The sequence below is a fragment of the Homo sapiens genome, chromosome 2, assembly GCF_000001405.40.
Source record: "Homo sapiens chromosome 2, GRCh38.p14 Primary Assembly".
Classification (NCBI taxonomy): domain Eukaryota; kingdom Metazoa; phylum Chordata; class Mammalia; order Primates; family Hominidae; genus Homo; species Homo sapiens.
In genome coordinates, this window is record NC_000002.12 from 56,624,263 (window position 1) to 56,649,522 (window position 25,260).

Consider the following 25,260-nt stretch of genomic DNA (forward strand, 5'->3'; position numbering starts at 1 on the left):
CATTACTTAGTCACCAGAGAAAGCCAATCAGTTGATGAAACTCATGACTTGGCGTTATCTCCTCTGAAGATCTTCCCTGAATTTCCAAATTAGAATGAATCATCCATTTTCTATCCTATCTCCTCTGAAGATCTTCCCTGAATCCCCAAATTAGAATGAATCATCCATTTTCTATCCTTCTTCTAAATCTTGTATGTATTCCTATTATTGCCTTTCTTATACTGCCAGATTATCAATTGTGTATACATTTGTTTTTTCTCTTATACTGAGTTCCTTGAAGGTAAATATCATGTTTATTATGCTTCTATTTCCAGTTGCCTCACCGAATTCTTGAACCATAATAATTAATAAATATTTGTAATTTAGCAATTAATTAATATGGATTTATATATTCTTTCTATTCAGTTTGTTTCTTTTGTTCTAGGAAACTCTTTATTCTCCAAGGAACCTTAATAATATATTTCATATGCTCCAGTCCTGTGCTAAGTTATCTGTATTCCCTAGGACCCCAATTTGAACTTTAATATGTATGCTTCCTGGTAGACAGCTTAATGTAAAAATTAGTGTTCTCACTTAACAAGTCAAGTGACGTTGGAGTGGAATTTAATTAGGTCAATGAGCTAATGTCTACTCTTCATAGAATATTCACATCTTTCAGACATTCCTTCTTATTTACCAAGCTAAGAGTTTTAAATTAATGAAGAAAAAGTCAATGGTTAATGTACTCGTTTATGATATTTTCTATTACTGCTTTGATAACTCAGAAAGTGTTTTTATATGTAAAACCAAATTTCATTTTCAAAACTACCCTGTGAATAAAATAGGGCAAATTTTACTTATAGAACTTCTAGTTAAGGAAAAGGTTGCATTCTGGCAGCTAGTTGAGATCTGGGAAAGGCTGGCTGGTCAGTTAGACACATGGTGACATTTTTTGTTGGGGAGAATTCTCTACATGTCGGGCTTTGGGTTAAGAATTCTGATGTTCCCACAAATGAAGAGGAGGATCAAAGTCTCAGAGGCAGTCTCACATTTATTAGTTTTTCAGTATCTGATCATTGAATCTAGAAGGAATTTTTAAAATTTAAATAAAAATAAAGTACTACCAGAACAGGGCACTCATATTCTCTAGTTAGTCCACTATCTTTTTGTAGACAAAGCTACAGGAGCTTCAAAATTACAATTGGAAGATGGCTTGAAAAGCATTATTGGGTCCAGACAGGGAAAGCATAAATGCCTGCCTCACCCATTTCCTCACAGATAAAGCTGCCATTAGAACAAGAGAGGTGACATCCCTGAAAATTGGCCTAAATGATCACATGATCACCCCAGTGTTGATTTCTCCTGTGCTGATCCTTTTTTATTTTTATTTTTCAAGGCTATTTGTTGTTGTTGTTGACAATCTGTATCAGTCAGGGTCCAGCCAGGGTATTAGAGGTATTCTGTGTATTTTAATAGAAGGAGATTTAAAACAGGGAATTGATTACATACATGATCATAGAATAGAGCACTGAAATAGGATACTGAAGTCTCTCAGAGATTAGCACTAGCAGGAAGCTGCTACCACTTCTAGGGTTGGGAGAACACTTGCTTCCATAATCTGGGAGCAAGGGCTATCCTGTGAGAGCCAGAAGCTGTGTTGGGTTTGGCTGTTGAGAGCTGTTACAGACGGAATCTGTTTATTAAGGAGCCATGGAAGAGATATAGCCACTGCAGAATGATACCACAGGAGGTAAAGAGAATGGAAGAAATATATTGTCCACTCCTCTCTCACCTTCAAATAGCCCTCCAGTGCTTCTCAATAGCTGGAAGTACTTGGGAGCCAGATATCAGAGATGAATATGAGATGAAACTATCATTGGCCAGATGTCTTCTTTCTTCAGACATGTTCAAAGGTTACATTTCATTAGCAGGCAACTTACATAATTGACTCTATTTAGTATTCTGAACTAGCAAGTTTGATCAGACTGATATACCTATCAAATTTTAGGGCCTCTATCAAATGAAATTTAAAAGAAATATACACAAGATTATGGGTCTGTTTCTTTCTCTAGAAGTGCATGTTCCAGGCCTTGAATAAACACTTTGTCTTTTGTTGTTGTTGTTAAGTTTGTGCATAAGTTTAGATCCAAGGAAGCACTGTTTTTCTAAAATTGACATCTTGTTCATGATAATAGAATGTAGAGCCTTTATTCAAGTTCTGAGAAGAAATCAGAGGAATATTAGTGGGAGGGCATTTTTAGTTGTATGAAAAATATAGTGTCTGTATGTGTGTGTTTGTGTGTGCTTTTCTATTATGTTTTAGTGGGACGTCAAAAGGATAGCTCATTTATATCTTATTTTTATTTATTTATTGCCTTGAGACAGAGTCCCACCCTGTCACCCAGTCTGGAGTGCAGTGGTGCAATCTTGGCTCACTGCAACCTCTGCCTCCCAGATTCAAGTGATTCTCCTGCTTCAGCCTCCTGAGTAGCTGGGATTACAGGCGCCCGCCACCACGCCCAGCTAATTTTTGTATTTTTAGTAGAGATGTGGTTTCACCATGTTGGCAAGGCTGGTCTCAAACTCCTGACCTCAGGTGATCCACCCACCTCGGCCTCTCAAAGTGCTGGGATTACAGGCATGAGCCACTGTGCCTGGCCTTATTTTTGAGGAAAGAAATATCAGTGTGTCTGTTCTGATACCTTATCATTATACTCTGTGGAAAGAAGTACAGAATATTTTAAATTACGATTGTCCATAATATCCTGGATGTATATAATCACTTTACTTAGAAGGCGAAAGGACTTTGAAGACTGTGTACCAGAGCTTGTGGGAGAGACAAAGGAAGAAACACAGAGCCTTGAAATAAGAAAAATGTGTGGTCAGCAGATTGGCTCCTATTTGTTACAGCCCTCTGTCAGATAAAGTGCTTTTGCCAAAATGTAAATGTACTGGGTCATTAAGAATATAATTTAGTTTGGCTGATATTTTGTATGCAGCAAGACTTTCCCCTGGAAGGAAGCAGCATGAGACTTTCAGTTTAGGGTAAGCTCTTATGTAACGTCACCTCAAACTATGGGAGGAAGCGAGGGAAGAGTAGAATCTCTGGAGCCAAGGGAAGGCTTGCCTTTTCCCATTTCAGTGAGCTGTAATTGAATGACTTTTTGTATTTGCATTGTTAAAGCTATCATCCCTTCGCTTCATTTATTGGTTCTGTTTTCTATCATAGCTAGAGGACTTCTATAAGTCCTCTTCCACCTCCACCCTAGGCCAAAATCCGAAATTCCTTTAATAATTCCTCCGTAATGCTTGATTTTCAGATCCTTCATCTTCTTTGTCACCATCATTAGAAAGTATATTTTAGTGAGGTTGAAATCAAAATGATGAACACATGCCTCTTACAGATGTAGATTAGCCAGTACAGAGAATCTGGGACTATTTTTTCCTGTACACGGTGCCTCTGTACCACAGTTCATGGTTTTATGTTTGTTGGTGATCATGTCTCAACTCTTAATGATGTTAAATGTACAGTTAACAAAAACTTCATCCTTTTGTATTTTCTTCACATGAACTAGGCTTAATTTAGATTTTCATCATATGGTGCATTTGTGAACACTTATTCATTTACCCTTGTTTATAAATGTCACAAAAATTATGGCAATTATTATTTAGAAAATAAACTTCTGTGTATTTCCGGAAAAGGTTTTTCAGCTTTACTGAAATCTCAACTTTCCTTTGTGTAAAATATAAATTATAATATCCATTTTACAAAATGTTTTGAAGAGGAATAATCTGTGGTTAATAATACTTTCAGTTCACAAATTCCCATATGCAGTGAATATCTACTATAATTGTTTAATCTGAAATCTGTGTTGCTCTTCATTGTGCTAGAGAGAAATAAAACAGTCATTCTTGAGGTCTGTAGAACTCAAAGAAGACGTGGGAAATTTTTATAAATTTGGAGAATACAGAGCTCCACTTGGAATGGCTAGACAGATGTGGGAATGATAGTTTGGGTAATTCAAGAGGAAGGGAGAGCAGGCATAAAAGGTGTTAGGCTGCAGAGCCAAGGTAGGTTTGATGACTAGAAATTATTCTATTGTGCTGGAAATATCAAGTGTGCATCAGAAGAAATAAGAGAGAAAAGTAAGATAGGAGTTGAATAATTTTTAGAACTATTTACTCAGACTGTGCTGGGCTTGAAGTGCTAGGCTGAGGAGGCAGATTCTAGTCCCTTTGCATTTAAAGGCTTTAGAGCCATTAAATTATTTCAAGGAATAGGTTATTATGGTTATCTGTATAATTTAATGAAACATAAAGGTAGCTGGAACAACCTTGTGTGGGTAGGCTTGGGAGGGCAGTGGCTGAAGTTAGGGGGCCCCATTAGGACACATTACAGTGGTCCAGGCAAGTGATACAGAAGGCCCACACTAGAGAGGTGATGAAGAGGGCATAAATGGTAAAGTGCTCGTCATTAAAATACGTGTCTTCATCATTAGTTTCTGTTTCTCCTACTTCAGGAAGTTGCTGACTAGAAAACCTTAGGGCTATCCTAAAGGGTCAGAGCTGTGCATTTCCTACATCCTACCAATCTTCTCTCTAACCTAGATCAGTAATGTTTTCTGACATAGTGAATGCAGCTATTAGAAAAAGTTAAATTATAATCAGAGTGTAGTGGGAATTAAGAAAGTAATCTCAACTTAGAATAAAGATAAAGCTGTATTTGGAACATACTCATTTTTTAAATAATCATTTTGTGCTTTTCTAATTTCATACTAAGTAGCTAGATAAGGTTAAATAAGTATAAATGGCATTTATGTATGTTATAATTAAAGATGACTAAATAATATAATTGGTTCTCATTAAGCTTTGAGACAAACAGAATATAGGTAAGGTAAATGAAGCAAGAGTTTAAATTATGTCCTGTGGCTACTGGTATTAAAATTGATAGAAGCCACAAAAATGTATGTACAATATGACCTTAATTAATGTTTGTAGCTTTGAAAATCACATCCAAAACTTAAAAAAAAAATAAGACCTTCCATGTTGATATGGTTTGGCTATTGTCCACCCAAATCTCATCTTGAATTGTAGCTCCTATAATCACCACATGTCATGGCAGGGACCCCATGGGAGGTAATTGAATCATGGGGGCTGGTTTTTCTTGTGCTTTTCTCATGATATTGAATAAATCTCACAAGATGTGATGGTTTTACAAAGGGGCAGTTCCTCTGTACACGTTCTCTTGCCTGCTGCCATGTAAGATGTGACTTTGCTCCTCCTTCACCTTCCACCATGATTTTGAGGCCTCCCCAGCTATGTGGAACTGTGAGTCCATTAAACCCTTTTCCTTTATAAATTACCCAGTCTCAGTTATGCCTTTATTAGCAGCATGGGAACGACTAATACACATGTGTAATGTGTTTTATAGCTTCAAAAACACACCCATGGCTGTTCTCTTTCGATATTCAGAATGATTCTGCCAGGAAGGCACTTATTATTTTGCCAAACAGAGACTTTGAAGAGGTTAAGTGAATTTCATAGCTATTTGCCAAGTTGGTAAATAACAACTATTAGAAGTTGACACTTTTTTCTCATTCTTTTTGCGATATTTTTTTGTACTATGCCATATTACCTAAGTTATTATATTGGTCAAGATAGACTAAATTTCCATGACTCAGAACAAATAACCTTTATTTTTTATTTAATTTTCTCACATTTGTCCATTGAATGCTACCTAGGGGCTCTGCTTTGTGTTTTTTCAATTCAGAATACTGAATCAACAGAGGAGCCCTGCTCTGTGGCAAGGCCAGTCATCATGACAGAGGGAAAAAGAACATGGCAAAGCCTATACAGACCTTGAAAGCTTCTGCCTTCAGTGACCCACAATACTAACGTCTCCATGTCATTGATCAAAGTAAATCAAACAGCTATATCTAGCTCAGGTGAACAAGGGTATACAATCCTTCTATTTGTCCAGAAAGAGAGACAGACAGATGAAATATTTGTAAACTTCTTGATTATAATTACAGTTGTTAAAAGTCAAAGCTTAAAAATTAATAAAAATTTAAGGAATTAACATGTTAGTATTTAAAAAATACTTTTTATTCAAAGCTTATATATGAAGGTTTTTCTGTGTATATTTTTTAACGAGCACAATTTCTTGGCAACTCAGTATGGGCATTTCCAAAGTGAAAACTATGTAATGCTGAACCTTGGAGATGCTCTGTATAAGTTTTGAAATACTACATAGCTAACACTACATACCAGCTTCATTCTTGGAGAGCCACAGTGTACATTAGCATTTAAAGCACAACTGGGGAAAAATATCACTAAAGAAGCCAAAGGCTAAATAAATTATATTCGATAAATGGGATGTGATGTTATGTAGTTATTAGAGATATATTTTTGAAGAGTTTTCATTGCATTGAAAAATGTTTCTGATTTAAGTTTAAAGTCAATAAAGCCTGATAAATTTCAAAAAGACTAGTAAATCCAGTGAAGTTCTCAACTCATTTGAAGACACCTCTTCATGTGTATGTGCGCAGCACTCACTGGTATCCTGAAAGCATGGTATTTTGGAAAATACTGCTTTAAATTGTTCTTTAATATCTGCCTTTTCCTTAATATGTCAGCAAGTCCATTCAGAGTTATGTTTTCCTGAGTTTTAGGTGGCAAAGATTAACCTTTCAGGAACTCAGATTCCTCATTTATAAAATGGGTTTAATAGTTCCTGTGAGGATTAAAGAAACAATATATGTAAAGTACTCACCAGTAGGCAGTTAGTTTTGATATTTCTTTCTGCTCTTTCTTTCTTTCTTTTTTTTTTTTTTTTGAGATAGAATCTCGTTCTGTCACCCAGGCTGGAGTGTAGTGGTGCAATCTCGGCTCACTGTAATCTCTGCCTCCTGGGTTCAAGTGATTCTCCTGCCTCAGCCTCCTGAGCAACTGGGACCACAGATGCACGCCACCATGCCCGGCTAATTTTTTTTTTAAATCTTATTATTATTATACTTTAAGTTTTAGGGTACATGTGCACAACGCGCAGGTTTGTTACATATGTATACATGTGCCATGTTGGTGTGCTGCACCCATTAACTCGTCATTTAGCATTAGGTATATCTTCTCATGCTATCCCTCCCCACTCCCCCCACCCCACAACAGTCCCCAGTGTGTGATGTTCCCCTTCCTGTGTCCATGTGTTCTCATTGTCCAATTCCCACCTATGAGTGAGAATAAGTGGTGTTTGGTTTTTTGTCCTTGTGATAGTTTGCTGAGAATGATGGTTTCCAGTTTCATCCATGTCCCTACAAAGGACATGAACTCGTCATTTTTTATGGCTGCATAGTATTCCATGGTGTATATGTGCCACATTTTCTTAATCCAGTCTATCATTGTTGGACATTTAGGTTGGTTCCAAGTCTTTGCTATTGTGAATAGTGCCGCAATAAACATACGTGTGCATGTGTCTTCATAGCAGCATGATTTATAATCCTTTGGGTATATACCCAGTAATGGGGTGGCTGCGTCAAATGGTGTTTCTAGTTCTAGATCCCTGAGGAATCGCCACACTGACTTCCACAATGGTTGAACTAGTTTACAGTCCCACCAACAGTGTAAAAGTGTTCCTATTTCTCCACATCCTCTCCAGCACCTGTTGTTTCCTGACTTTTTAATGATCTCCATTCTAACTGGTATGAGATGGTATCTCATTGTGGTTTTGATTTGCATTTATCTGATGGCCAGTGATGATGAGCATTTTTTCATGTGTTTTTTGGCTGCATAAATGTCTTCTTTTGAGAAGTGTCTGTTCATGTCCTTCGCCCACTTTTTGATGGGGTTGTTTGTTTTTTTCTTGTAAATTTGTTTGAGTTCATTGTAGATTCTGGATATTAGCCCTTTGTCAGATGAGTCGGTTGCAAAAATTTTCTCCCATTCTGTAGGTTGCCCGTTCACTCTGATGGTAGTTTCTTTTGCCGTGCAGAAGCTCTTTAGTTTAATTAGATCCCATTTGTCAATTTTGGCTTTTGTTGCCATTGCTTTTGGTGTTTTAGACATGAAGCCCTTGCCCATGCCTATGTCCTGAATGGTATTGCCTAGATTTTCTTCTAGGGTTTTTATGGTTTTAAGTCTAACATTTAAGTCTTTAATCCATCTTGAATTAATTTTTGTATAAGGTGTAAGGAAGGGATCCAGTTTCAGCTTTCTACATATGGCTAGCCAGTTTTCCCAGCACCATTTATTAAATAGGGAATCCTTTCCCCATTGCTTGTTTTTGTCAGGTTTGTCAAAGATCAGATAGTTGTAGATATGTGGCATTATTTTTGAGGGCTCTGTTCTGTTCCATTGGTCTATATCTCTGATTTGGTACCAGTACCATGCTGTTTTGGTTACTGGGGCCTTGTAGTATAGTTTGAAGTCAGGTAGTGTTATGCCTCCAGCTTTGTTCTGTTGGCTTAGGATTGACTTGGCGATGCGGTCTCTTTTTTGGTTCCATATGAACTTTAAAGTAGTTTTTTCCAATTCTGTGAAGAAAGTCATTGGTAGCTTGATGGGGATGGCATTAAATCTATGAATTACCTTGGGCAGTATGGCCATTTTCATGATATTGATTCTTCCTACCCATGAGCATGGAATGTTCTTCCATTTGTTTGTATCCTCTTTTATTTCATTGAGCAGTGGTTTGTAGTTCTCCTTGAAGAAGTCCTTCACGTCCCTTGTAAGTTGGATTCCTAGGTGTTTTATTCTCTTTGAAGCAATTGTGAATGGGAGTTCACTCATGATTTGGCTCTCTGTTTGTCTGTTATTTGTGTATAAGAATGCTTGTGATTTTTGCACATTGATTTTGTATCCTGAGACTTTGCTGAAGTTGCTTATCAGCCTGAGGAGATTTTGTGCTTAAATGATGGGGTTTTCCTGATATACAATCATGTCATCTGCAAACAGGGACAACTTGACTTCCTCTTTTCCTAATTGAATACCCTTTATTTCCTTCTCCTGCCTGATTTCCCTGGCCAGAACTTCCAACACTATGTTGAATATGAGTGGTGAGAGAGGGCATCCCTGTCTTGTGCCCGTTTTCAAAGGGAGTACTTCCAGTTTTTGCCCATTCAGTATGATATTGGATGTGGGTTTGTCATAGATAGCTCTTATTATTTTGAGATACGTCCCAATACCTAATTTATTGAGAGTTTTTAGCATGAAGGGCTGTTGAATTTTGTCAAAGGCCTTTTCTGCATCTATTGAGATAATCATGTGGTTTTTGTCTTTGGTTCTGTTTATATGGTGAATTACATTTATTGATTTGCATATGTTGAACCAGCCTTGCATCCCAGGGATGAAGCCCACTCGATCATGGTGGATAAGCTTTTTAATGTGCTGCTGGATTCGGTTTGCCAGTATTTTATTGGGGATTTTTGCGTTGATGTTCCTCAAGGATATTGGTATAAAATTCTCTTTTTTTGTTGTGTCTCTGCCAGGCTTTGGTATCAGGATGATGCTGCCCTCATAAAATGAGTTAGGGAGGATTCCCTCTTTTTCTGTTTGATTGGAATGGTTTCAGAAGGAATGGTACCAGCTCCTCTTTGTACCTCTGGTAGAATTCAGCTGTGAATCCATCTGGTCCTGGACTTTTTTTTGGTTGGTAAGCTATTGATTATTGCCTCAATTTCAGAGCCTGTTATTGGTCTATTCAGAGATTCAACTTTTTTCCTGGTTTAGTCTTGGGAGCATATATGTGTTGAGGAATGTATCCATTTCTTCTAGATTTTCTAGTTTATTTGCGTAGAGGTGTTTGTAGTATTCTCTGATGGTAGTTTGTATTTCTGTGGGATCAGTGGTGATATCCCCTTTATCATTTTTTATTGTGTCTATTTGTTTCTTCTCTCTTTTCTTCTTTATTAGTCTTGCTAGCAGCCTATCAATTTTGTTGATCTTTTCAAAAAACCAGCTCCTGGATTCATTAATTTTTTGAAGGGTTTTTTTGTGTCTCTATTTCCTTCATTTCTGCTCTGATCTTAGTTATTTCTTGCCTTCTGCTGGCTTTTGAATGTGTTCGCTCTTGCTTTTCTAGTTCTTTTAATTGTGATGTTAGGGTATCAATTTTAGATCTTTCCTGCTTTCTCCTGTGGGCATTTAGTGCTATAAATTTCCCTCTACACACTGCTTTGAATGTGTCCCAGAGATTCTGGCATGATGTATCTTTGTTCTCATTGGTTTCAAAGAATATCTTTATTTCTGCCTTCATTTCATTATGTACCCAGTAGTCATTCAGGAGCACGTTGTTCAGTTTCCATATAGATGAGCGGTTTTGAGTGAGTTTCTTAATCCTGAGTTCTAGTTTGATTGCTCTGGGGTCTGAGAGACAGTTTGTTATAATTTCTGTTCTTTTCCATTTGCTGAGGAGTGCTTTACTTCCAACTATGTGGTCAATTTTGGAGTAGGTGTGGTGTGGTGCTGAAAACAATGTATATTCTGTTGATTTTGGGTGGAGAGTTCTGTAGATGTCTGTTAGGTCCGCTTGGTGCAGAGCTGAGTTCAATTCCTGGGTATCCTTGTTAACTTTCTGTCTCGTTGATCTGTCTAATGTTGACAGTGGGGTGTTAAAGTCTCCCATTATTATTTTGTGGGAGTCTAAGTCTCTTTCTATGTCACTAAGGACTTGGTTTATGAATCTGGGTGCTCCTGTATTGGGTGCATATATATTTAGCATAGTTAGCTCTTCTTGTTGAATTGATCCCTTTACCATTATGTGATGGCCTTCTTTGTCTTTTTTGATCTTTGTTGGTTTAAAGTCTGTTTTATCAGAGACTAGGATTGCAACCCCTGCCTTTTTTTGTTTTCCATTTGCTTGGTAGATCTTCCTCCATCCCTTTATTTTGAGCCTATGTGTGTCTCTACACGTGAGATGGGTTTCCTGAATACAGAGCACTGATGGGTCTTGACTCTGTCCAATTTGCCAGTTGTGTCTTTTAATTGGAACATTTAGCCCATTTACGTTTAAAGTTAATATTGTTATGTGTGAATTTGATCCTGTGTTTATGATGTTAGCTGGTTATTTTGCTCATTAGTTGATGAGGTTTCTTCCTAGCCTTGATGGTCTTTACAATTTGGCATGTTTTTGCAGTGGCTGGTACCGGTTGTTCCTTTCCATGTTTAGAGCTTCCTTCAGGAGCTCTTTTAGGGCAGGCCTGGTCGTGACAAAATCTCTCAGCATTTGCTTGTCTGTAAAGTATTTTATTTCTCCTTCACTTATGAAGCTTAGTTTGGCAGGATATGAAATTCGGGGTTGAAAATTCTTTCCTTTAAGAATGTTGAATATTGGTCCCCACTCTCTTCTGGCTTGTAGAGTTTCTGCCGAGATATCAGCTGTTAGTCTCATGGGCTTCCCTTTATGGGTAACCCGACCTTTCTCTCTGGCTTCCCTTAACATTTTTTCCTTCATTTCAACTTTGGTGAATCTGACAATTATGTGTCTTGGAGTTGCTCTTCTTGAGGAGTATCTTTGTTGCGTTCTCTGTATCTCCTGAATTTGAATGTTGGCCTACCTTGCTAGATTGGGGAAGTTCTCCTGGATAATATCCTGCAGAGTGTTTCCCAACTTGCTTCCATTCTCCCCGTCACTTTCAGGTACACTTATCAGACACAGATTTGGTCTTTTCACATAGTCCTATATTTATTGGAGGTTTTTATCATTTCTTTTTATTCTTTTTTCTCTAAACTTCTCTTCCCGCTTCATTTCATTCATTTCGTCTTCCATCACTGATACCCTTTCTTCCAGTTGATCGCATTGGCTACTGAGGCTTCTGCATTCATCACGTAGCTCTCATGCCTTGGTTTTCAGCTCCATCACGTCCTTTAAGGACTTCTCTGCATTGGTTATTCTAGTTATCCATTCGTCTAATTTTTTTCAAAGATTTTAACTTCTTTGCCATTGGTTCGAATTTCCTTTTGTAGCTCAGAGTAGTTTGATCATCTGAAGACTTCTTCTCTCAACTCATCAAAGTCATTCTCCATCCAGCTTTGTTCCATTGCTGGTGAGGAGCTGCGTTCCTTTGGAGGAGGAGAGGCGCTCTGATTTTTAGAGTTTCCAGTTTTTCTGCTTTGTTTTTTTTTCCCATTTTTGTGGTTTTATCTACCTTTGGTCTTTGATGATGGTGATGTACAGATGGGTTTTTGGTGTGGATGTCCTTTCTGTTTGTTAGTTTTCCTTCTAACAGACAGGACCCTCAGCTGCAGGTCTGTTGGAGCTCGCTAGAGGTCCACTCCAGGCCCTGTTTGCCTGGGTATCAGCAGCGGTGGCTGCAGAACAGTGTATATTGGTGAACTGCAAATGCTGCTGCCTGATCGTTCCTCTGGAAGTTTTGTCTCAGAGGAGTACCTGGCCATGTGAGGTGTCAGTCAGCCCCTACTGGGGGATGCCTCCCAGTTAGGCTACTTGGGGATCAGGGACCCACTTGAGGTAGTCTTCCTGTTCTCAGATCTCAAGCTGCATGCTGGGAGAACCACTACTCTCTTCAAAGCTGTCAGACAGGGACATTTAAGTCTGCAGAGGTTACTGCTGTCTTTTTGTTTGTCTGTGCCCTGCCCCCAGAGGTGGAGCTGACAGAGGCAGGCAGGCCTCCTTGAGCTGTGGTGGGCTCCACTCAGTTCGAGCTTCCCGGCCACATTGTTTACCTAGTCAAACGACTAACTGGGCAATGTTGGGTGCCCCTCCCCCAGCCTCACTGCTGCCTTGCAGTTTGATCTCAGACTGCTGTGCTAGCAATGAGTGAGACTCCGTGGGCGTAGGACCCTCCGAGCCATGTGCGGGATATAATCTCCTGGTGTGCCATTTTTTAAGTCCATTGGAAAAGCACAGTATTAGGGTGGGAGTGACCCGATTTTCCCGGTGCCGTCTGTCACCCCTTTCTTTGACTAGGAAAGGGAATTCCCTGACCCCTTGTGCTTCCCAGGTGAGGTGATGCCTGTCCCTGCTTTGGCTTGCACACGGTGCGCTGCACCCACTGTCCTGCACCTACTGTCTGGCACTCCCCAGTGAGATGAACCCAGTAACTCAGTTGGAAATGCAGAAATCACCCATCTTGTGCATCACTCACGCTGGGAGCTGTAGACAGGAGCTGTTCCTATTCGGCCATCTTGGCTCCTCCCCCACCCTTTTTTTTTTTTTTTTTTTTAATGAAGATGAGGTTCACCATATTGGCCAGGCTGGTCTTGAACCCCTGACCTCAGGTGATCCACCCACCTCGACTTCACAAAGTGCTGGGATTATAGGCGTGAGCCACCGCACCCAGCTGCTTTCTCTTTTCCACTTACGTATTAGGAAAATTAAAGAATATAAAATGATTTTTCATATTTATTTAATGAAAATAGTCTGTGTTTCTTAAAGCTAGCCATCAAAACAGTGATAGAATAAGCTGTTACACACTTTAATTTTGCTAACTTCTTGTAGGGAACATTAGGAGCAGAGAACACTGAGCCAACAGAGTGTGGAAGTCATGATTCCAGGTATTAGCATGTGTCAAAGAGAGTGAAAGCTAAAGGACTTTTGTCAGCAAGGCTGACTGCCACTTTCTATAATGAAGGCACATTTCCTAAATGGACCTTGAGCAGTTCCCACAGCAGGCAATCAGAAACATCCAAATTTAACATCCCATTTAGGTTTGCTGCATGCTAGCCTATCTTTCTTGGTAACAAGAAAGGAAAATTATTTGTCAGTATAAGGACTGCTTGTTAAAACTCATTTTTAAGTGGATTTACCTTTGGGGCATGTAAAATGAAGAAGAGGCTTTTTTTTGGGTCTTTGAGAAAATTGATCCAAATAATTATAACAGACAAAGGCAGCCTCCTCAATGGATGCAATGAAGCAAAGTCAAAATAATACAAATAAATAGAAGATAATGAAAATGTTAGAAAGTGAAAGCTTTTCGGTTGTACACCTTCCTAGAATGGGGGAATAGGGCTGTAAAACTCTCCTATTCTGGAATCAACTTTGTATTTCCAGGTTTGGCCCAGAAGCAGTTTATTCTGAGGTGTAAGAAAGAATGCCTGTTTTCTATCTATGTCATACCTGGGCCATTGAGACCAGGAGGAAGAAGGCTGGTCATGAAACCCATTTAAGGATTGCATTAATCTGCGAAACTGATCCAGGGAGTTCAGATTTAATCTTCTGTTATGCAGTAAACCTATGATAGTTTGTAAAACTTCCCCACCTTTATGTAGGATAGTGTGAAAGTGTGGTATGTGGGGTGATTGGCAAGAATTATTTCTTTTCAGAAGCACCCTACTCTTGATTGTCTGTAGACCAGTAGATATAGGGATCTTCTTCTGGCTTTTTGATTTTGTCCATAAATTATCATCTGCAATGGACTTCTATCTGTTTCCACAAAAAAGCTTTCTTAGAAATCAGGCATCTTCATGAGTTCTACTGAGTTCAGGAGTGATTTTCAAATGCTAATTATAGGCCTGTTCCCTGGAGCTGAAGGTTGATAGAACCAAATATAGAGTAGACATTATTTCCACTCAGTGTAAAATTGATGAAGAGCATATCATAATATTAATAGCTGCAAATGACTAGAAAATGTGAACCTTGTTCTAACATGAGACACTCCAAGATTAGCACAGAAAGCATAAACCAAGAAATCTGGCATGTGACTTGGTGACTTACAAATTATTGCCCATTCATTTATTGTTTCATTTATTCTGCCATTCATCAGACATTTGCTAAGACCATACTGTGTATGGTCCCAGTACACAGTAGAACACATAGGAGACAGGCTTACAGCAAAATCCACAAATTTCAGGACAGGCTGACTTGGATCCACAACCTAAGTAATCCTTATTTTTTTTTAACCACTCTATGCCTTAGGTTTTCTACATATAAAAGGAAGAAATTAATATGGTGACATGGTTTTATTAGTGAATTTATTAGTAACATAATATAATTAAAACCATCTAGCAAACAGTAGTATCACACAATACTTGTTAAATCTCTTTGCTCTGTGATCGGTTTTCCTTATAATTCTGAAAATGATATTGTTATGGCGTGGTTCCTGACCTTGAATAACTGAGACCGATGCTAGTCAAAAATACAGACAGCTGTCATTCTGCTCTGTACTTCTATGAGATCATCTTTTTTAGATTCCACATATGGTTAGGGAGATTCTGGTCAAAAGATGCACAATTCTCATTAGAAGGAAAAAATTCAAGAAATATTGTACAAGTTGACAGTATTAATAACAATATATTATATTCTTGAAATATGTTAAGAGAGTAGATCTGAAATGTTCCCACCACAAAATGATAGCTTTGTGAGGTAATACATGCATTAGCTAGGTTTGGCTATTCTACTATATATTACAAAATATCATGTTGTACATGATAAATACATATAATTTTATCTGCCTGTTTATAAATTATTTTAAAAATTTCATAATAACTATAATAAAATACAGAAAGTCTTTCAAATAGATTACCAGAGGTATTTACTATAAGAACACAGAGATACATGTGTTATATACGAGGGTAGTGAACATATCTGTCTCATATAGTTTTAGAATCCCCAATGCTTACCAAAATTTCTGGCACTTAGTGCTTTTTAGTAAATGTTGAGTAGATGACTGAGTCTGCAAGAGGTTGAGATCTAGGGCTACATCGTTCCCAATGAGAGAGAAATGATACCTTGTAAAAAAGATGTTGAGGTTGGGAATCTGGGACACAGATTCTGAGACCTAGATTCATGTGCAGAAAGTTTATTAGAGTGGTCTAGGCATTAGCAGGCACAGGGAAAGGAAAGAAGGCAGGATTTGGCAGAGAGAAAAGTTGAGTTGTGAAACATTCATGGTGAAAAATTTGGCCAAATCCACTGCAGCACAGAAGGTAAAATGGGTTTTTAGCTTTCCAGAGGACCCTTGCATTGACCAGATACGTGGGCTACCCTTGGAAAGTGGGTACCTTTAGCTGAGGGAAATTCCTGAACAGGTATAACACCTGAGGGCTCGTTAAACAGGCTTCTGAGCCACAAAGAAAATGTGCCTTTATTACTGAAATAGCATCTGTGGTTGCAATGCTGTGTCCACTATAGTTAATTCTTCTTCTTCACAAAATATGGTAAGAGCTACTCTAGGATATTGATATACCTCTTTTCCTGTAAAAAATTATAAAAAGAAGGTTATTAGGATAACTACAGATTTCGCTCCTGCAGTTTAACTTCATAAGTAATATCCTCAAGTAATTACCTAAGTGGGTCACCTGCATGCCAAATATATTTCCCCTTCCCCCACTGCATAGCAACAGCCTTATTTCCTCTGTTGATCAGTGTCAGTAAACTTTTCCTGAATAGTGACTCTTGTCTGCTGGACCTTTGGCATAATATGGATCTTGTAGTGCCTGGGTAGCAGCCATATCTTAAAATTCAATGGGACATCTGGTCTAAAGTAGCAGCAAAAAGATTTACAAGAAAGACAAGTACAAATTACCCAAGTGGGCCACTCTGTGATCCTGGACCCATGTATTCTACCTGTTGGAGTCATGGCACCATATGATAAGTACCATTTAGAGTATACAATGCATTCCGGAGGATGGTACCCCATCTTTTTGATGTTTGATTCTCGAACTGTTCTGCAACTTTGCCTTCGACAGGCCATTCTATTGCTATGTCAGGACAGCAGTTTCTGGTTGGTGAGGTTTGTGATAGGACTAGCAGATTTCATTGTGAGATGCCCACCGCCCATGTCTGCTGTAAAATATGTTCTTTGGTCTAATATGATGTTATGTGAGATTCTGTGTCAGTGGGTCAAACACTTTGTAAGCCCTTTGATGGTGATGCAGGTAGAAGCCCTGCATTATGAAAAGCAAACTCCTATATGGCATACGTGCTGATTCCAGCCAAATGATTCACTGTCCCTTCCAGAGTGGAAGAAATTCACTGGAATTTCTTGGAAGTGGAAATGTGGGTAACTTGCTGTCAAGTGTCTGTTTGGTCTTCTTAAGGAATGGTGCTGCATCAGAGACACATTGTTCCATGTGGTTGCCACCATGGTGCTGCTTTGTCTGAGCCCATATGAATCCTTCAGGTTTTCTTTCTTGCTTCTGTGCCTAGAAACAGAGAAACATAGGAATATTTTGCCAGTCTGGTAATACTGCTCCCTAAATTTCTAACCCCCTTCAGTATGCTATTAGGTCATGCGCTTGTCTTCAAAAATATAAGAAAGTAGGACAGATCTGTTGTCAGATAAAACTCCTTTTTCATTTTCCCAGTCTAGGAAAATGTTGTCTTCCTTCTCTCTCTTGCTTCTTTCTAGAACTAATTTTCTTTTTACCTTGTCTTGAAGGCATCCAAAATAATTCCCTCAATGAGTTTGTGCCTACGCAAATAAAGGAATAGTTCTGCACTTCCAACTGCTTTCAATTTTAGTTCTGGAAAAAAGAAGTTCCAGAGGCAGGGAAATAATAAGGGCCTGGAGAACTTATTGGAGAAAGGGGGGAAAAAAAGCAAACAAAATATAAGTAAATTCATCAGAATTGTTTGTCAGTTGCCTTCATCTACAGCACTCTAGCGCTATTAATCCAATAAAGGGGAGAGGTTCAGGGAGAATGGCATAGTTGAGTGAGGTGACAGAGTATGGTCATGTACCAGCACAATTAGAATGAGAGATTTTAGGTGCCCTAACGGTTCCGAAGATTACCTAATCCAACTATTTCTTTTTATACAAGGACAATCAGTCTCAGTGGTGGAACTAGGGACTAGGGCTTTTAATTACTAGCCCAATCTCCATTTCTATTCCTTATTTTCATGCCTTAGATGACTTCTTTTTCTTGTCCAAAACTTGGAGAAGAGAGGCCTGTTAAATTCTTGGCAGGTTGACTGTGAAATTCATGTTGCAATCAATTTAAGGTGTGGATATTTTTTTTCCCTGCATGTACATTACTACCAGACCACAATGAACTGTGAGATGTGATCTGCAATCATAGATCAAACTGGAAATACTGAACAAAGGCAGTTTGTTTAGTGAAAATGAATGTATAGGTGGTGCTATGTACTGACAAAAAGCTCTTTTTCCCTCCCCATTTCCTGCTGAAGGTGAAAGCTAAAGCATATTAAAAAGTGACCCTTTGAAGCCAGGAATGTTAGCCTTCCCAAACTTGATAAGAATATTTAATTTCTTTAACATCAGGCTGTGTTTAAAGAAAGTATAATTCAGACATTAAGAGACCAGGTAAATGGCTCCAGGGCTCTTTCTGTTTCTTCCTTACCTGCCAGGATTTTTGGCGTAGCATCAGATAGCACTGTATACCCCATCCCAGATGCCCGTCCAGGGAACGGATGTTATAAAGAGGCTGCCTTCTGTTCTGATTAGCTGACTGACAAATGAAGACTATCTGGCAATGCCATCTTCATTCTCACACTAAAATTACAGTGTGAACATGCAAAGATAGGCATACGGAGCATACGTTTGTATGTTTTTGCAGATCCAGATTCCATTCATGCTTCTTCTAATATTAGAACTGAATTTCCCTTTGGGGAAATAATATCTTCTCCATTATGTATAGTCTGGGTAGTGCTTTCCATTGATGCATTCTGTACAATCCTATGAAAATGGTAGATGCATAACTCAGGCTCAGCCAAAACTCTCTCCAGGATTTTAATCTTTGGTGTCATGACATAGGACAGAAAAATGAATGGAGCTGATTCACCTAAGAGACTGCCTCATTCTAGCACAAAATCTCCTAGTAGATAGCTCTGTAGTCATAGAAATATTGTATACCTGTGCTGCCTAATGCGGTAGCCACTAGCCACATGAGACTACTGAGAACATGAAATAGAGCTAATGTAACTAAGGAACTGAATTTTTAATTATATTTATTCCAGTTAATTAAAATTAAAATTGAAATAGCCACAATTTGGTATTGGTTTCTGCTCTGGACAGCACAGCTCTAGCAGAGTTCTCTGAAGAAATCATGCACTGGCCCACACTAGTTGGATATCTGGGGCTGCTCTGTTTTTTTTTTTTTTTTTTTTTTTTTTAAATCTCTTTCTAAACCTGGTTCTAGCTATTTGTTTGATTCTGCGAGCTACCCTAACCCAATTTGTTACAATAATTTCCTCCTTTTCCTAGTAGCTACAGTTAATTTTGTTTGTTTAACTCTAAATAAAGAACTTAAGTTGAGAAAACTCGTTAATGTAGTGATGTATCGACAATATGTTAAGTACCTATATATGTCAAGGAATATATATGGTAGTCTCTGGGGATAAAACATTTATGTATAAATAAATATCATCCTTACCATTCAGGAGCTGAGACTAACGAAGAAGACAGAAATATTAACAGTTAGTGATAACGCCATGAGATCAATTAGAACTTTGAAAAGGATTTTAGGATCACAGAGAAGAAGTCTCATTAATACAGTGCTGTAGATTGAATAGTGGTCTCCAAAATGATGTGTACACCAGTACACATGACTGTGACCTTATGTGAAAATAGTCTTTGCTGATGAAGTTAAGAATCTACAGATGATATTATGTTAGATTTTGGGTGGAACTTAGATTCAATGCTGACTGTTCTTATCAAAGATACCCAGAAGAACAATACAAAGAGAAGAGTGGATGGTCTGTAAAGATGGAGAAAGAGATTGGTCTTATGCTGTCATAATCCAAGGAATGCCAGGAGCCACCAAAAGATGGAAAGGGCAAAATGGGTTCTCCCCTAGAGACTTTGGAAGAATCATGGCCCTGCTGATGCTTTGCTTTCAGACTTCTGGCCTCCAGAATTGTGAGGTAATAATTTTGTTTTTAGTCAAGAAGTTTATGGTAATTTGTTATGACAACCTTAGAAATCTAACATAGATAGCAAGATGTTCTAGTCAAGCTCTAGTATTGGAACCCTGCCTCAAACCCAGCCATCTGTGTTGTCCTCTGGATAGCTGGCCTAGATTCTGTCTGTTTTTTCAGGGATGCTAGACTGTCTTCCTTCTACCTTCAGCTGTTAGGTAGGGTTCTGTTGCAACATAGACGGGATGCATTTATCTTATCTTTGGGTATTGTCCTTTCAACTGTAAGCTCCACAAGGGAAGGGATCTTTGTTTATTTTTTTTCCCACAATATTTTCAGCACCTAGAAGAGTACCCAGCATACACTAAGTTTTAAATATTTAGTTGAATGAATGAATAAATACATAAATGAAGATTATTTCTGCTAAGTCCTTCCTTTTGACATTACCAAACTCCTCTTCCTCCTGCCACATACACTTTTGATATTAGTGATAATCTTGGTAATAATCAAATTCACTCTTCTTCCTGGGTGAATCATATTTAGATTGCTGGTTACTATTTACCTGGAAGGGGCACAGTCATCAAATTGACTTGGTCACTCTTACTCCAATCCCAGATGGTTCATAGATTCTGCCACCCCTCTCACCAGTTGAAGTATTCTGAAAAGAGTAAGGAAAAAAACATTGTTGGATTGCATTGAAATAATGACATCTTTGTGAAAACTCAGGATTTTTTTTTTTTTGCTATGTTTAAACAGATTGCTTTGATCAATATATTGTCAAACTAATGCCAAATTCATCTTAGGCTTTCTACAGCCTCAAGCATAATCTCAGATTTAAATTACATCATGCTTTATGCATCATGTCACAAAATTCATACATTAAATTCCCTGCACTATATTTTAGGAGGAGGGCTTCAGATTCCTATTAGGTCTTTTTGACACTTCTTTAACATATTCTTCTAGAAAGTTTGATTGTCTTTCTTTTTCTCAGCTATAAGGGATTTATGTAACAAGTTGCAATGACTGCTAGAGGTAACAATAAATGTCACAGCCTGATACGGAGAGAAGAGGCAGTTACAAAATAAATGCACCCACAAAAGACAATGTATAACAGAGAGAGAATCAATTCAAGGAAGGCATAAATTGTTTGACATCCCTCAGTGATCTACAATACATTGTGCTGGTACCATAATTATTAGGGATATACGAATTAAAACCACAATGAGATATCACCTCACTTGTACCTGTTAGGATGGCAATTATCAAAAAGTCAAAAGATAACGAATGATGAGAATGTGAATAAAAGGAAACTCTTATACATTGTTGGTGGGAATGTAAATTGGTATAGTCATATGTAAGATAATATGGATGTTTCTCAAAAAAAAAATAAAAATAGAACTGTGATATAACCCACCAATCCCACTTCTGGATATTAATCCAAAGGATATGAAATCAGCATGTCAAATGGATATCTGCCTTTCCATGTTCATTGCAGCCTTATTAAAAGTAGCCAAGATATGGAATCAACCTAAATGCCTCTCAACAGAAGAATATATTAAAAATGTGGTGTATATATACATAATAGAATACTATTTAGCCTCATAAAAGAAGAAAAACATGTCATTTCTGATGGATGAACTTGAAAGACATCATAGTAAGTGAAATAAGCCAGACACAGAAACAAATGCAGCATGATCTCACTTACATATGGAATCCAAAAAAGTAAATCTTATAAAAGTAGACAGTAGAGTGGTAGTTAGCAGAGGCTGGTAGGGTAGGAGAATTAGGAAGATATTGGTCAAATGATACAAAATTTCAGTTAGAAAGGAATAATAAGTTCAAGAGATCTATTGTACATGTTGGAGACTACAGTTAATGAAAATATATTGTACACCTGATAATAGATAATACAGTGTTTTCACCATAAAAACAAGTATGTGAAATAAAACATTTTCCAATTAGCTTGACTTAGCCATTCCACAATGTATACATATATCAAAACATCGTGTTGTACACCCTAAATATATGCAAGGTTTATTTGTCGAGAAAAAGGTAATGTACAAAATTTTAGCTAGAAGGAATGAGTTCAAGAGATCTATTTTGTAACATGGTGACTACAGGTATAAGAATATATTGTATTCTTGAAAAGTGCTGAGAGTAGATTTTACATGTTCTCACCATAAAAACAACAACTTTCTGATGTAATGCATCAGAAAGATTTAGACATTCCACAATGTTTGTGTATGTGCATGTATGTGTGTATAAACATGTTGTAGATAATATGTACAATTGTTTCTGTCCAAAAAAACAAAAAAGTATGGAGGAGTTAAAAAGAATGCCACAAACTCATTAGTTAAAAACAAAATAGTGCTTGAAATGGCAAATCTTACCTTATGTGGTTGATTCCCTTAAGTGTTGATGCTGGGATAGGATGGGAAGCTTCAAGAGCTCCATGACCATCAGCAGGCCTCCCAGGTGTGAAGACTGACAGTTCTGAAGAAGTCAGATTATCATATCACACAAGTATATACTGTGATACGACACACATATAGGAGGTCACTATAGGTACACAGGGGATTATCTCCAACCTGATAGATTGATGGGTCTTATTCTTATTGTGCAGTGCACATTCTCTCTCTCTGTCTCTTTCTCTCTCTTTCGTTCACACATGCCCAGAAACATTTAGACTCCTGTCTTTGGGCCATGATGTTTCCAAAGCAAAATGCCCCTCTTTATCCTAGCACAAAGACAGACAGTTTAAGGTTGAATTCTGAAATCATCTGTCCTTGGTTTTGGCCCTTTGGCTCTCATTGTACCTATAGGAACTGTGCTAACTCCTTTCCCTCTCTAGGTCATCCTCTCCTCTGTTGAGCTCCAGGTATTATTTATAGTCATTCTTTTTAAATACTATGATCTCTCTGAGCCCCATCTATAAATAAAAGCTCTAATAGCATTGATAATAATTTACCTGAAACATATTTAGCATTTGCTGAGCACAGTGGCTCATACCTGTAATCCAGAACTTTGGGAGGCTGAGGCAAGAGGATTGCCTGGGGCTAGGAGTTCAAGACCAGCCTGGGCAATAAAGCAAGCCTCCCCTGTCTCTACAAATAATAATAATAATAATAATAATAATAATAATAATAGTAATAATAATTATCCAGGCTTTGTGGCAAGTGCCTGTAGTCCTAGTTTTTCAGGAGGCTGAGGCAGGAGGATCCCCTGAGCCCAGGAGTTCAAGACTGGAGTGAGCTATGATTGTACCACTACACTCTAGTCAGCCAATAGAGGGAGACCTTATCTCTAAAATAAATAAATAAAAACACTTTTAGTCTCTATCCTATAATAACACCCCAAGTATTATTATTTGTGACTAACCATAGATTTATGCCATTAAAGGAACCTCCAACAGCAAAGGAGAAAGTTGAACTTTTGACAAAGATGGGAGGATTAAGTCTTAAGGAATTTCATATCATCCAACTGGCTAATAAGCAAACAGAGACTTTGGAGTTAAGATTGAGGTGTCTTTAGATGTATTGGGTCATTGATTATTATTATTGTTATTAGGCTTACAGTAGTAGTGAAGGTAGAATAGTTAAACAGTTATGGCGTTAAAGAAAACTGTGGGATGGGGTGCAATGGCTCACGCCTGTAATCCCAGCAGTTTGGAAGGTCGAGGCAGGTGGATCACAAAGTCAGGAGTTTGAGACCAGCCTGGCAAATATAATGAAACCCTGTCTCTACTAAAAATACAAAAAAAAAAAAAAAAAAATTAGCTGGGCGTGGTGGCACATGCCTATAATCCCAGCTACTTGGGAGGCTGAGGCAGGAGAATTGCTTGAACCCGGGAGGTGGAGATTGCAGTGAGCCGAGATCGCACCACTACGCACCAGCCTGGGTGACAGAGAGACTCTGTTTAAAAAAAAAAAAAGAAATAAAACTGTGGATGCTTATCAGACAAGGTTAATGCATTTGATGCCCTGGGATCTGTACTCCTTAAGAAGTGACATTCCTCTTCCACTGTACAGAAAAAACACATAAATAATATGATAAAATGAACAATCTTGGGGATTTTTATCTTCTTCAGTGAGTTTTGTAGTTTTTAAAGCCTTTCATTATACAACCATCTTTTGTTATTGAAGCTAGTAGGTACCTGAGGTTTGTTTTCTCAGAAGGATTCAGTTCCGTCTCTTGTGGCTTTCACTTCCACCTGACTGTTATGTCACTTCTCTTTCATTTATTTATTTATTTTCCTTAGAGGCCTAACCAGGCAAACTGCTCTCTTCTGATAACATTTTAAAAATAGTTGTTATATAGTTATTTATTTGATTCAAACTGACCACTTCTATGAAATCTTTGTGGTTTGGAATATTCATCAGGAATCTTATCAAATGTGGTAAGAAAGTCCCTTCTGCTTAGCATGATTGTAACCCTCCTTTCACACCTTCAATATCTTAGACAGTGGGTAGCAATATCAAGGAAGATTTTCCACAAGCAAAATCTGTGGAAGATTTATCAGCTGTTCCCACCACTAAGAATACAAACTTTCTCTTCACAAATTGTCATACGAAGTAATATGATTCTAGAGTGCTACTCTGTCTTCAAAAGATTAAAAAAAAAACACTAGATATGGTGAAATCATAACTAGAGAAAAAATGTGTTTTTCTCCACTCCACCTAACTTTCGTATATGGTTATACAAAATTAACGTTTTCAGTTTCTTGTGTTGACACTTTTAAAAACAGTAGCAGAAGAGGGTTTAGTGTTTGAATTTTTATATTCTTTTTTTGGATTTAGCTTTCACAAGAAATTCTATCGTTGCAGCACTAAATGGAGAATCTTATAAAAATTTAATCAGATTTCTTCCACAGAGAGAAAAGAACAAAGTCTTACTTTGTCATCTTGTACAAATGGTGCGTTTTCTCTTTCTAACTAATCAGATACCAGGGATGCTCTTATGAGTTGATGAAGTGCAATGTGAATTGTGACTCAGCTAACATTTATGAAGAAAGAACTCTGTGTCAGACATGGTTACATATCTTAATAATATTGTTTAATCACAGGGCATAATAACTATTGCTACATTATATAATTGCCAACTACCTGCCAGAAGATTTTTGCTCATTTATTGATGTTGCTCAAAGCCATGCAGTCAGTAAGTGCTGAAGGTAAGATCTGATGTTCATTTCATTTAGCTCTGTAGTCTGTGTTCTAGTATTTCTTACTCAGTGCTGCCTGATTAAATAGGGTAATTTGGTCTTCCCTTGATTTGTACCTCCCTTGATTTGTACCTCACACACTATCTCTTTTTAAATTTAAATTACCAAGAATTACACTAAAACTGATTTACCTGTGTGGATAATAAAAACCTTTGACTTTTTAAAGTGACCTCTTCACTGTACAAATGCTCTTGGGAGGCCTTAAACATTTATTGGAGTAAAGTATAAGAGGATGTGATTTGAGCCAGGCCCTGGGACAATAGGATGCAGTCAAAGTGCCTAGGAGTGTGTGCAT

General features: G+C 37.9%; 1 long non-coding RNA gene across 3 annotated transcripts in view; it reads left to right on the plus strand.

The window, feature by feature from the left end:
• Positions 1-24,926, plus strand: part of LOC101927213 (uncharacterized) — a 63,269-nt gene extending 38,343 nt beyond the window's left edge. For 2 of the 3 annotated variants that reach the window (XR_001739480.1, XR_001739479.1), the window contains one exon: positions 19,550-19,907. This is a non-coding gene — a long non-coding RNA (uncharacterized LOC101927213). Of the gene's footprint in view, positions 1-19,549; positions 19,908-24,809 lie in introns of those variants that run through there. The other variant, XR_001739478.1, reaches the window with a different exon arrangement.
• Positions 24,927-25,260: the final 334 nt, after the last annotated feature.